The following is a 14,461-nucleotide window of genomic DNA, read 5'->3' as shown; positions in this document are numbered from 1 at the left end:
TTCCCGGGTTCAAGAATTCTTCTGCCTCAGCCTCCCGAGTAGCTGGGACTGCAGGCGCCTGCCACCATGCCCGGCTAATTTTTGTATTTTTAGTAGAGACAGGGTTTCACTGTGTTAGCCAGGATGGTCTCGATCTCCTGACCTCGTGATCTTGTGATCTGCCCGCATCGTCCTCCCAAAGTGCTGGGACTACAGGCGTGAGCCACTGCGCCTGGCCTCATTGAGCTCCTTATCTGTGCCAGGTGCTATTCTAGGCACTAGGAAAATATCAGTGAACAGAACAGCCAAGATTTCCTGTCCTCACAGAGTATACCATTCTAGTTGGGGAAGTGGACAATGAATGTGTAAATGAAATATATCATATTCCAGATAAAGATAAGATTGGGGCCAGGTGTGGTGGCTCATGCCTGTAATCCAAGCACTTTGGGAGGCCAAGATGGGCGTATCACCTGAGGTCAGGAGTTCGAGATCATCCTGGCCAACATGGTGAAACGCCGTCTCTGATAAAAATACAAAAATTAGCCAAGTGTGGTGGTGCATTCCTGTAATCCCAGCTACTGGGTAGGCTGAGGCAGGAGAATCGCTTGAACCCGGGAGGCAGAGGTTGCAGTGAGCCGAGATCATGCCATTGCACTCCAGCCTGGGCAACAAGAGTGAAACTCCGTCTCCCACCACCCCCCTCAAAAAAAAAAAAAGAATCTAGGTTCTTTATAAATCTTTGTGCTGTCATATTGCACTGTCATTTTCTGCAAAGCCAAAGGTGGATCCATTTTTTCTGTCAATTTGTTGTACATGTTTTTAAAAATCTTTTAGTGATTACCTGAAAGATTACAGCATTCCTCTTTCTTTTAGTCTAGGACAAATTATTGACTTTACCATTTCCCCAATACTGCTAGAGGACCTTGGGACACTTTAACTCCATTTACCTCCATCCTCATTTTTGCTTTATTTTTGTTATTTAATTCTGCATACATTCAAAACCCCAGAGGGCAGTATATTACTTTGTGCAGTCAATATTCATTTATATTCACATACTTACTCTTTCTATTGCTATTCTTTCCCTACTAATTTTTTTTTTTTTTGGAAACAGGGACTCTGTCACCCAGGTTGAGTGCAGTGGCATGATCATGGCTCACTGCAGCCTCGACCTCCCAGGCTCAAGTGATCCTCCTACCTCAGCCTCCTGAGTAGCTGGAACCGCAGGTGTGCGCCACCACGCCCAGCTAATTTTTGATTTTTTGTAGAGGCAAAGTCTTGCTATATTGCTCAGGCTGGTCTTGAACTCCTAGATGCAAATGAACCTCCACCTTGGCCTCCCAGATTGCTGGGATTACTAGTATTAGCCACTGTGCCTGGCCTAAATTTCTTTCTGTTTCATCTGAGATCTTGTTCTTCTCGAAAAACTCCATTTAGTATTTCTTTTTTTTTTTTTTTTTTTTTTTTTTTGAGACGGAGTCTCGCTCTGTCGCCCAGGCTGGAGTGCAGTGGCGGGATCTCAGCTCACTGCAAGCTCCGCCTCCCGGGTTCACGCCATTCTCCTGCCTCAGCCTCCCAAGTAGCTGGGACTACAGGCGCCCGCCACTACGCCCGGCTAATTTTTTGTATTTTTAGTAGAGACGGGGTTTCACCGTTTTAGCCGGGATGGTCTCGATCTCCTGACCTCGTGATCCGCCCGCCTCGGCCTCCCAAAGTGCTGGGATTACAGGCGTGAGCCACCGCGCCCGGCCCTAGTATTTCTTTTAGTGGTGTTCTGATGGCAATGGATTCTCATGGTCTGTCTGAAATGTCTTTTTATCCTTTCTTTTTTGAAGGAGATTTTTACTGACTATAGAATTCTAGGTTATATATATTTTTTTTCTCAGAGTTTTGGTGAACTTCTTGAATCTATGGTTGCTGTGTTTAATCGGTTTTGGGAAATTCCTTGCCATTGTCTCTTCAAATAGGGTTCTTCTCCACGCTGTCTCTACTTTTCTTTTGGGACTTCAATTATACATACCAATGTGTACACTAGTTCTTTGGTGTAATTTTTCATCTTTTCATCTTTTTAAAAAGTCCTTGCCTACTTACTCTAATGCCAGGATCACATTTTGGTCTATTTCTATTGTTTGCTTGTTTGTTTGTTGTTTGGAGTTTGGGGGCTTTTTGGGTTTTTTTTTTTTTGTTTTTTGTTTTGTTTTGTTTTTGAGACAGGGTCTTGCTTTATTGCTCAGGCTGGAGCACAGTGGTGTGTTTTCAGCTCACTGCAGCCTCAATCTCCTGGGCTCAAACGATCCTCCCACCTCAGCTTCACAAGTAGCTGGGACCACAGGTATGTATCACCACACCCATCTAATTTTTTTATAGAGGTGAGGTTTTGCCATATTGCCCAGGCTGATCTCAAACTCCTGGGCTCAAGCAATCCACCCAGGCATTCCCAAAGTGCTGGGATTACAGGAATCAGTCACCCTGCCCGGCCTTTTTTTTTTTTTTAATTTTTTTTTTTTTTTGAGATGGAGTTTCGCTCTTGTTGCCAAGGCTGGAGTGCAATGGTGCAATCTCGGCTCACTGCACCCTCCACCTCTGGGTTCAAGCAACTCTCCTGCCTCAGCCTCCCGAGCAGCTGGGATTACAGACATGTGCCACCATGCCCGGCTAATTTTGTATTTTTAGTAGAGACGGGGTTTCTCCATATTTGTCAGGCTGGTCTCGAACTCCCAACCTCAGGTGATCCACCCACCTTGGCCTCCCAAAGTGCTGGGATTACAGGTGTGAGCCACTGTGCCTGGCCGACCTGTTTGTTTTTTCAGAGTTTTCTGTCATACAGTCCTGTCTCGGCATGCTTAATACTTTTTAAAATTAAATTCTGGACTGGTGTATAAAAATAGTAGAGGCTGCAGATAATATCTTCCTTTAGAGAATTCATCCTTTCCTTTACTGGGCAGATCAAGTAGGGGCTGATGACCTTCATTTAATCAGTGATTGAGTTGAGTCAGGGCTCCATTACGGTTGTGGAGGTTCATTGTGCTTCTGGTTTGCCTGCTCCTAGGACGTAGCCCATCAGGGTTTCAGGAGGATCTGGTGTGTTCACCAAGGCACCTTCCCCTGACAGGGCCTGAACTCAAAATCTTTGTCTTCTTAATCCAGCAAGACTACCAAAAACTCTGCTGCTTTTTGGAAGCTTTCCGCCTAAGTTCCTGAGCCTCCTGACCCAACCAGTTTCAGAAATGGGTAACTGTCTTGAGAAGAAAACCAGCCTTATGTAGAGTTCAAGTCTGTGTCCCTCTTTTCTCACAGGGATCTTGGCCCATAAAGTCTCCAATGTTGTGTTTTTAGGCCCAGAAAACTAAAGTCCTAGCAGTCTGGATCCTTCTGCCCTTTGCCAAGAATTGGCAAATAATCCAGGAAAAATGTGGCTGCACAATGTCTGTGATTACCTACAATCTATAGTCTTGACTACGCTATTCCTGGTTGTCCCAAACACTCCTTCATGTCTTTTTTTTTTTTTTTTTTTTGAGATGGAGTCTCACTGTTGCCAGGGCTGGAGTGTGGTGGTGCGATCTTGGCTCACTGCAACCTCCACCTCCTGGGTTCAAGCGATTCTCCTGCCTCAGCCTCCTGAGTAGCTGGGATTACAGGCATCCGCCACTACGCCCAGCTAATTTTTTGTATTTTTAGTAGAGACAGGGTGTCACCATGTTGGCCAGGCTGCTCTCGAACTCCTGACCTTGTGATTCACCTGCCTCAGCCTCCCAAAGTGCTGGGATTACAGGCATGAGCCACCGCGCCCAGCCCCTCATGTCTTTTTCATACAGGAAAAAAAAGTTAAAAAGCTTTGTGTTTTTTTTTTTTGTATTATATCTGATTTTTTAGTTTTCTGCAGGAATACTGGTTTGCTGCAAGCCACTCCATTGTATCCCTAAAGTGACTTTTATAGTTTCATTCTGACTATATTATTAACTTTGTTTCATTGGATATGAAGGTGAATACCTTTTTAAATATTTAAAACTTATTATTTCCATGAACTATGTTTCCTTTGTCTGTCTCACTATAATACTAATTTTTTAAATTCTAGAAATATTATTCACTTTTATTGAAATGTATGAGCACTTTATATATGGTGGAAATTAGTGATTTATAAATCTCATATAGGCACATTTTATAATATTTTTTCCTGGTATCTATCTTTTTATTTCCGTTTATGCCCTTTGCACATTTTAAGCTTGAGGTTATTTGTTTACTTGTTGAGTTTTGAAGGTTCTCTATATATTCTGGATACAAGTCCTCTGCCTGATATATGATTTACAAATATTTTCTCCCAATCTATCCCATGTCTTTCTCCTTAACGGTGTTACTTCAATAGCAGACGTTTACATTTTCTATGAAGTCCAGTATATCAAGTTGTTCTTTTATGGATTGTGCTTTTGTTGTCATGTCTAAGAACCCTTCATCTAACTGCAGGTCATGTACACTTTCTTTTATGTGTTCCTAAAAAAGTTTTATAGGCTAGGAGTGGTGGTTCATGCCTGTAATCCAAGCACTTTGGGAGGCAGAGGCGGGAGGGGCGCTTCAGGCCAGGAGTTTGAGACCAGCCAGGGCAACATAGTGAAACCTTGTCTCTACAAAAAAAAATAATAATAACTTCTCCCCTCCCCCCACCCCCCACCCCGAGATGGAGTCTTGCTATGTCCTCCAGGCTGCAGTGCAGTGGTGTGATCTCGGCTCACTGCAACTTCCACTTCCTGGGTTCAAGCAATTCTCCCTGCCTTACCACATCCAGCTAATTTTTGTATTTTTTAGTAGAGATGGGATTTCGCCATGTTGGACAGGCTGGTCTTGAACTCCTGATCTTAGGTGATCCGCCTGCCTTGGCCTAAAAATATATATATATATTTTTTGAGATGGAGTCTTGCTCTGTTGCCCAGGCTGGAGTGCAGTGGTGTCATCTCAGCTCACTGCAACCTCCATTCCCCAGGTTGAAGAGGTTCTCATGTCTCAGCCTCCTGAGTAGCTGGGATTACAGGCACGAGCCACCATACCCAGCTAATTTTTGTATTTTTAGTAGAGATGGGGTTTCACCACATTGGCCAGGCTGGTCTCAAACTCCTGACCTCATGCGATCCACCTGCCTTGGCCTCCCACAGTGCTGGGATTACAGGCATGACCCACCGTGCCCAGCCTGTTCCTTCCATTAATCTATCTTTCTGTCCTTCACCAAAAACACACTGTCTTGATTACTTAGGGCATCTCAACCTTGGACCATTATTTGGGACTGGATAATTCTTTGTTGTGGCAAGCTATCCTGTGCTTGTAGTGTATTTAGCAGCTTCCCTGACCTCTGTCCTCTAAATGCAAATTGTACCTCTCCAGTTGTGACTACCAAGAACTTCATACTGTGCTGTATATCTCCTGGAGAACAAAATCACCTCTGGTTGAAAAACATTATGGTAAAGCTTTGAAAATATTAATAATATTTTAAATTCCTTTTTAGATAGTTCCAACATCTACATCATATCTTTTTCTTTTCTTTTAATTTTTGAGGTAGGGTCTTGCTTTGTTGCCCAGGCTAGAGTGCAGTGGTGCAATCACAGTTCACTGCAGCCTCAAGCTCCTGGGGAGATCCTACCTGAGTCTACCTCTATTTGTTTGTTGTTGCTTTTTGCTTTTATGTCTTGAGTGTCATGATTTTTCTTGCCTTTTCATGTGTCTTGTAATTTGATGTTGCTGAAAACCATACATCTTTAGGACAGTAGTGAGCAGAAATTAGTTAACATAGCAGGTCTGAGACTACTTATCCTTAGAAAGGCCTGATATGCGAGGTTAGTCTTTGGCTTGCATCTAGAACTTGAATTTCAGATTGGTTCCCACCTTCCTAATAAGTGGCTTACTATGCCTAAACTTTTTGTACAAACAGTATGGTTTATGTTAAACACCCGCTTTCCTTCTGGGAATTTGAAATTCTGGTATGTGTTAGGCACAGACTGCCTATGTGACCAGCCCCCAATAAAAACATAGGGCACTGAATCTATAATAAACTGCCCTGATTGGTAACATCTCACATGTATTGTCACAACTCACTGCTGGGGAACAAATAAATCCCATATAAATTTACTGGGAAAGAACCCTTCGCAGTGTGCACCTGGTTTCCCCTGGACTTTGCCCCATGCGCTTTTTTCTTTACTGATTTTCTTTTGTATCACTTCACTGTGAGCCTCCCAGTGAATCATCAGAGCTTGGGCGTGTAGTGGTTGGTCTTGGGGTCCCCTGCCAGTAGTACCAGGAAAATGATGTTGATGGCTGGATGGGCATACCTTTCCTTCTGTAAGGCCTTTACTATGGGGTTTTCGGTTAATCCAGTTAGGAGTTTAACAACTAATCAAGACAGAAAATTTGTACAATTTGATTGCATTTATATACATTTCACAGCAAGATTAAAACTTTTTTTTCTTTTTTTGAGATGGAGTTTCGCTCTTGTCGCCCAGACTGGAGTGCAGTGGTGTGATCTTGGTTCACTGCAACCTCTGCCTCCTGGGTTCAAGCGATTCTCCTGCCTCAGCCTCCAGAGTAGCTGGGATTACAGGCATGCACCACCACACCTAGCTAATTTTTGTATTATTAGTAGAGACAGGGTTTTACCATGTTAGCCAAGCTGGTCTCGAACTCCTGACCTCAGGTGATCCACCCTCCTCAGCCTCCCAAAGTGCTGGGATTACAGGCGTGAGCCACCGCGTCCAGCTGAGAGATTAAAACTATTAAAGAGCCAAGATATTATTAATACCCTAAAGATCAGCTGGAGCTGGAGCTGGGTATCAGAAATGATCACACAGGTTATGTGCAGTGACTCATGCCTGTAATGCCAGTACTTTGTGAGGCCTACTTGGGAGGATCACTTGAGCCCAGGAGTTCGAGACCAGCCTGGCCAACATGGCGAGACCCTGTCTCTATAAAAATTAGCTGAGTGTGATGGCACACACCTGTAGTCCCAGCTATTCTGGAGGCTGAGGTGGGAGGATCACTTGAGCCAGGGAGGCAGAGGTTGCAGAGAGCCTAGATCGTGCCACTGTACTCCAGCCTGGGTGACAAAGCCAGACCCTGTCTCAAAAAAAACAACAAACAAACAAACAAAAAGAGAAATGATCACATAGAATGGGCATTTGTTCTTGAGATACCAACACTTGTGTGGAGTTATACTGAACTTACACATTTTATGCACTTCAAGTATTTTCTGTTTCACAATAAAAAAAGAAACAACTATTTTAGTTACCTGATAAGTTTGAAAGTACTGAAAAAAATTACTCCTCTGTCAGAAAGTTTAGATGTAGATTGAAATGATGTACATCTAAAAGAGAAGCAAATGAAAACTGGCAAGTGTGTACTTCAGCAAAAAGAATGGCATGAATGGAATTTACAAAACAGTACTAATGTTACTATAAACATTAATTGAAACCAAACACTTTAAGGGCGATTGGAGGATGGGAATAAGGTATTAGGAAGAGTTCTCATGGATTCCCAGACAGGGTACCCCTATAGGGCTGGGCATGTAGCTGTGTCCCATGGATCGTTTCCCCTTCGTTCTATCCCAGGCTGGTACTTGTGGGACAAGAGGTGTCCACCCAGCCGGGCCGAGGCTCGGGCAGAGACGGGACAGACTCGCCACTCGCTTGGCACAGTCTTGTAGGACTTTCCCGCCATGCCACATAGGTCAGAGGCCCACGCAGCGAGCTCCTACTGAAAACCATCGCACCATCCCCCCGGGGCATTTCTGCAGTGTTCCAGGCTCTGGACTACATTTCCCAGGGCCGTCGGGACCAAGGTTACTTCCAGCCTAAGATGGCCTGGGCTTACTGTCCTGTTCCCAGGGCTGGGAGCCTTTTGCAGAGGTAGGGCAGCCTGCATGCCTCCGCTGAAGCTTCCTAAACGCGGCCTGGAATTCTGGAAGCTCTCGGCAGCAGATGTGAGCGGTGTGTGGGCGATGGTCTTTGCCCAGCGAGGGGATGGGGCTCAAATGCAGGGTCCGTTAATGGTGACCGCGGTGTCCGGGGCAGTTAAAGACGGCCCAGGCTCCGGACTACATTTCCCAGAGTGCACCGTTCCCCGGGCAACTTCCTGTCAGCCCTCTGTCCCTTTAGGGTTAATAGAAAGATCGCGGAACCTTCCACCATCAAGGGACCGCAGGGCCGGGTGAGTGATTCCGAGACACAGAAGCCGAATGACTCCGGAGGGCCCGAGGCCGGGGCTGAGGGGAGTGAGGTGCTAATGTCTTTGGAGTTGGTGGCTTTGCCGGCGAGGGAGCGTGGGGGCGAGCGATCGCGATGGGAGCAGTGGATGCGAGAGTGAAATTGATGCAGGAGCTGGGGCCGCGACGGGAGCTTGTGTGTGTGTGTGTGTATGTGTGTGTGTGTGTGTGTGTGCGCGCACGCGCACACGACGTTGACAGGCGCTGTGTGTGACCCTAATGGACTATTTAAATGTGACTGTATGTACGTGATTATGACTGCGTCGCGTTGTGCGTGACCACGTTCGTAAAGGTGGTGATAGCAGCCGCTATGGGGCCAAAAACAAAGAATTGAGCTTTGCGTTGAGTGACAGGCATAGTCCTTCGTGAATGTGTGGGGAGCAGTTTTTGTGCTGGCCCGTAGCTGGATTGGAGTGGGGGCAACCTAGAAGGAGGGGAGAAGAATGGGACACAGTGTAGACAACATAGTTCAAGAGTTTCTCCGTAAATTAGAGCAGAGAAATGGAGCAGCAGGTTGGGGTAGAGGGCTGGGGAAGACGGCTGGGGAACAACCACCCATCAACATGTTGTTGGAAATGAGCCACGAGAGGGGGGAAAAGTCCAGGCAAGGGTAAGTAAACAAGGCTCATCTGTGTGGGTGTAGTTAAAAATGCAAGAATTAAAAAAAATAGAAAAGGGTAATCGCGCTGCAGAGAGTAAACCATGAGCTGAAGATTTCAGATATAGGGGGAAAATACCCTGTGTTTGGTAGAGGTCAACAAAAGTGAGATGTGGTGAGTTATATACAATCTCATGGCAGGAAATTCAAAACTAGAGTTTGTGGAGGGAGGAAGAAAGGTCTGAAGGTAGTGAACAACAAGGAGGCCGGCCATCTGTTCCATTTTCAGACCCACTGGTAAGAGGCTGTAGCTGGGGAAATGTTGAGAGGGCTGCAGAGTCCTCCAGATACAGCCTAGTTTCTGTTAGACTCAGAATGTTAGGGCGTGTTCAAGGAAGTGGTTGAAGATAAAAGAGGAGTTGGTTGTTAATGAATTATGAATTCCATTATGAAGGCATACAGGAAAAGTGTTGAAAGTTGGGAAGAATGAGAAAAGGGGACAAATGAGACTTGATGGTATACAATGTCCGAAAAGACAGTTGACTAGAAATTCTGGGACTTCTTATAGTAGATAAATATAAATACAAGGTTGGATTGACATTTATTCTGGTTGGATTCAAGTCAGTTTTGGAGAGATAGCGTGGGATAGTGAAAGATGATTTCTTGAGTGTGAGAAACAAACTTACCCGTCCCAAAGAATGGACTCAGAGACCCGGAGAACAGCAAAAGTGAGACTTTTAATGATGGTCTTGCAAGATCAGTGTCTGATAGGCACACCCAACAGTTTCAACAAGCAATTTATCCCCTAGTGCACAGGTTCCTCCCCTGGTTCCTCATAGGCTGATAACTATGGGGTCACAATCTTCCCGGATGTTGCCTATTGATTGTTGGGTAGGGGCTTCAGGTGTTTTGTTTTTTGATTTTTGTGAGACAGAGTCTTGTTCTGTCACCAGGCTGGAGTGCAGTGGTGCAATCACGGCTCACTGCAACCTCCGCCTCCCAGGTTCAAGTGGATTCTCCTGCCTCAGCCTCCCGAGTAGCTGGGACTACAGGTGCGTGCCACCACGCCCAGCTAACTTTTCTATTTTTAGTAGAGATGGGGTTTCACCGTGTCGGCCAGGATGGTCTCGATCTCTTGACTTTGTGATCCGCCCGCCTCGGCCTTCCAAACTGCTGGGATTACAGGCGTGAGCCACCGCGCCCAGCCGGTGTGTGTGTGTGTTTTTTTTTTAGGCTTGTCTTGCTGCATTTGGTTGCGGCCCACAATGCACTGCAATCCTAGTTAGCTCAAGGTCTCTTCAATAGTTGACTTATGACCTAAGCAGCTGGGCAGGCTGATAAAAGCAGACAAAATGAGCTATTTTGCAGGCTAGCAAACTTTCATCTTAGACTAAACTTCTTTGGTTTGGGTGAAGGCAACTAAGTGGGGGAAAGGGAGAAAGCGGGAGGCTGACAAGCAGGCATCATCTATCCAAGCAGGGGCCTAGTATATCCTGTTTCTTCTGTAGTTTGCTTACCTAAGCCAATTCAAGGCATTTTGTCTTGGAAATGGACCACTGTATACATTATTTCCTTCACTGAGTATCTCTCAGAAAGAAGGAAGCTTAAGATAGAAGGGGGGTCAAGGTAGGCAGAATGATGGCCCTGCAACCAATGTTTACTTCCTAATCCCTGGAAACTAGGACGATGCTACTTTATATGGCAAAAAGGACTTTGCAAAGGGGATAAAGTTAAGAACCTTGAAATGGGGGCGATTATCTTGTTGGACTAATATAATGACATGGGTCCTTAAAGTCAGTGAACCTTTCCTGGCTGAGTTTAAAGTCAGAGGGAGATGTGACCGCAGAAGAATGGTCAGAGAGATGCCACATTGCTTACTAGATAGAGGAAGTGGGCCTTAAGCCAAGGAATGTTGGTGGCCTCTAGAAGCTGGAAAACATAAGAAAACGAATTCTCCCCTGGAGCTTCCAGAAAGGAACACAGCCCTACCAACACCTTGATTTTAGCCTAGTAAGACCCAACTCAGACTTCTACTGAACTATATGATAATAGATTTGTATTATTTTAAGCCACTACCTCATGGCAGTAGAAAACTAATACAGTGGTGTAGTGTCTTGGCCTCAGTGTTGTGGAGGAGTCTTGATCCCTGTGACATAAGGGGACCTCAACCTCTGTTGATTATGTTGAAGACTTCCAGTAAAGTACATAGGTCCCCACTTCACCAATAATATAATTTACAGTTTTGCTATATTGTGTTATTTTTAAACTTTGGAACTTAGTGAACTTTTATTTGTGATCTAACATCTGGTCAGTCTATACTTACTTTTTGCCTTACACTTGATTTGTCTTGGATTGAGAGAGGTGTATTAATGAAATTTTATTTTATTTTATTTTATTTTTTTTGAGACGGGGTCTCCCTCTGTCGCCCAGGCTGGAGTGCAGTGGTGGGATCTCGGCTTACCGCAACTTCTGGTTCAAGCAATTCTCCTGCCTCAGGCTCCTGAGTAGCTGGGACTACAGGCATGCGCCAACATGCCCGGCTAATTTTTTTTGTATTTTTAGTAGACACGTGGTTTCACCACATTGGCCAGGCTGGTCTTGAACTCCTGACCTTGTGATCTGCCCACCTTGGCCTCCCAAAGTGCTGGGATTACAGGTGTGAGCCACCGTGCACAGCCAAAATTTTATTTTATATAACCTGTAACTTTTGCTTTATGAAAGTTGTTGTTGCTTTGATATACAGATATTAATGATTGTTATATGTTTATTATGAATTGCAGGCTTTAGCATGCTCAAGATCATGGCCTCTGCTTATTTTTTTGTTTGTATTTGCCTTGTAATATGCTGTATTTCTTCCTAGTCTTTTTATTGAAGTTTATCATATATACAGACAATACGTTATTCTCATGAATAATCAGGAAGAGAGCATTCTTGCACTTGTCATTTTGTGTTTACATGTATGCATTTCTATTGGGTTATTCCAAGGAGAGGAATTGGTGAGTAAGAGTATGTGAATCTCCTCAAGCAGATACTGTCAGTTTTCCAAAATGGCTGAACCAGTTAAAAGTTCCCATCAACAGTTTATGCAAGTTCCAATTGATCCATCTTCTTGTTAACACATGGCATTGTCAGACTGTAAAATGTTTGCCAATATGGTGGATATGTAGTGGTATTGCATTGTGGTTTTCCTAACTGATGACTAAGGAACTTGAATACCTTTGTTTTAATGTGCATTGTCCATTTGGATATCTTCCTTTGGGAAGTGCCAGTTCAAGTTCTTAGCCTAGCTGTTGGGAAACTTGTCTTTCATTGTTAATCCTTAAGAGTTCTTTGTATAATCTGAATGAGTCCCTTGTCAGCTTTGTGTATTGTATATATCGTCTCCTAGCGTAAGGTTTGCATTTTTACTCACTGTCTTTTTTTTTTTTTTTTTTTTTTTTGAGATGGAGTTTCGCTCTTGTTGCCCAGGCTGGAATGCAATGGTGCGATCTCGGCTCACCGCAAGCTCTGCCTCCCCGGTTCAAGTGATTATCATGCCTCAGCCTCCTGAGTAGCTGGGATTACAGGCATGCGCCACCATGTCTGGCTAATTTTGTATTTTTAGTAAGAGACAAGGTTTCTCCATGTTGGTCAGGCTGGTCTCGAACTCCTGACCTCAGATGATCCACCCGCCTCAGCCTTCCAAAGTGCTGGAATTACAGGCATAAGCCACCATGACCAGCCCATTCACTCTTTTCTGATGAACAAAAATTGCTTTTTAAAATGTAGTCTGATCATTATCATTTTTCTTTTATGGTTTGTACTCTGTATCTTATTCAAATCTTTGCTTATCCCCAAGGTATGAAGATATTCTGTATTTTCATCTATATTTATCTGTCACATGTAGGTATATAAACCTGGAATTGATTTTTGTGTCGTGAGGGGAAATCATGATTTGTTTTCCTCATATAAATTCAGTTGACCTGGCACCATGTATTCAAGACCATCCTTTCTTCCATGTTATTTATTTGCTCTGAAATCTATGGTGTCTTGATATTATAGCCACCTAAGCATTATTTTGATTATGATTTGCATGGTATATCTTTTGCTATCCTTTTACTTTTAAGCTTCCTATACCACTATATTGGGGAAACTGACACCTTGAAAATTATCAGCCTTTCATCCCATGAATGTGATAAATTATTTCATTTGTTTAGGTCTTCTTTAACTATTTGTAGTAATTAATATAAAGACATTGTACAGGCCAGGTGCGGTGGCTCATGCCTGTATTCCCAGCACTTTGGGAGGCTGAGGCAGGTGGATCACCTGAGGTCAGGAGTTCGAGACCAGCCTGACCAATATGGTGAAACTCTGTCTCTACTAAAAATACAAAAATTAGCTGGGCATGATGGCTGGTGCCTGTAGTCCCAGCTACTCGGGAGTCTGAGACAGGAGAATTACTTGAACCCGGGAGGCGGAAGTTGCAGTGAGCCGAGATTGTGCCACTGCACTCCAGCCTGGGTGACAGAGCGAGACTCTGTCTCAAAAACAAACCAACAAACAAAAGATATTGTATGTTACATATATTGTTAGATTTATTTATAGGAATTTGAATTTTTCCTGCTAAGTGCTGTCATTTTAAATTTCCTACTTTTTGCTTGTATGTTGAAATTTAATTGACATTTTGCCCTGTTTGACTTACATTTGTATTCATTTTTTTTTTTTTTTTAGAGAAGGTCTCATTCTTTTGCTTAATCTGGCCTCAAACTCCTGGCCTCAAGGCAGTCCTCCTGCCTTGGCTGTAGTCCTAAACATTTCTAAATTTCTTCCCCTTGATTTTCAGCTTGAAATGACACCCTTTATCTCTCAGTTATCACAAATGAGGCAATCAATGAGCTAGTCTATTTTCTATTCTCTAACCTTCATTTCTATATTAGTTATCTATTGCTGTAAAACATATTACCCTAAAACAGAAATAAATATTTATTATCTTAACACCATTTTCTGTGGACCAGGAGTTCAGGAGTGGCTTAGCTGGGAAGTTCTGGCTTGGGGTCTCTTGAGGTTGCAGTCACACTCTTGGCCAGGGCTGCTATCATTTGAAGGCATAACAGGGACTAGAGGATCACCTTCCAACGTGGCTCTCACATGGCTATTGGCAATAGACTTCAGTTTCTCACCATGTAGACCTCTCCATGGGGTTTCTTAAGTGTCCCTGTGATACGTCAACTGGTTTTCTCCAGAGCAAAAGGACAGCAAGAACGCATAAGCTGGAAGCCACAGTGTCTTTTATATCTATCTCATACTCTATCATTTCCGCAGTACCTTATTGCTATACAAGTTAATCCTATTCAGTATAGGAGGCAGCTACACAGTGTTGTGAATACCACATACTGGGTACCTTTGGGGCCATCCAGGATGCTGGCTACCATAATTCCGCTTTTACTATTTTATTTAGATTTGCATTTAAATATGTTCAGCATCACTACTATTCTTTTGCTGAAACTTTCACTATTGTTCTTTTGTGGCTGGAGTATGTCTTCTAGTAGCTTCTTCTGAAACAGCGCATGTCAACAGTATTTCCTAAGTTGCATCATAAAACTCCTTATATCCTTTATACTCGAATGACAGCTTGGCTGGATATAAAAATGTTTTGACTCCCTCATTTGTTT

The 14,461-nt window shown here is 43.8% G+C and overlaps 1 protein-coding gene across 9 annotated transcripts in view; it reads left to right on the top strand.

The window, feature by feature from the left end:
* ZNF790 (zinc finger protein 790) overlaps positions 1 to 14,461 on the top strand; it is a 33,365-nt gene that overhangs the window by 4,299 nt on the left and 14,605 nt on the right. Inside the window, exon 1 of one of the 9 annotated variants that reach the window (XM_005258903.6) lies at positions 7,793 to 7,856. The exons of 3 other annotated variants lie outside the window; for them this stretch is intronic. The gene's annotated coding sequence lies outside the window, so the exon portion shown is untranslated. Of the gene's footprint in view, positions 1 to 7,792; positions 7,938 to 8,106; positions 8,227 to 8,466; positions 8,823 to 14,461 lie in introns of those variants that run through there. 5 more of the 9 variants (XM_047438799.1, XM_011526950.4, NM_206894.4 and 2 more) reach the window with 5 other exon arrangements.

This window comes from Homo sapiens, chromosome 19 (assembly GCF_000001405.40).
Source record: "Homo sapiens chromosome 19, GRCh38.p14 Primary Assembly".
Lineage (NCBI taxonomy): Eukaryota > Metazoa > Chordata > Mammalia > Primates > Hominidae > Homo > Homo sapiens.
Note: the sequence above shows the minus strand (reverse complement) of the source record. Positions and strands in the feature narration are given on the sequence as shown.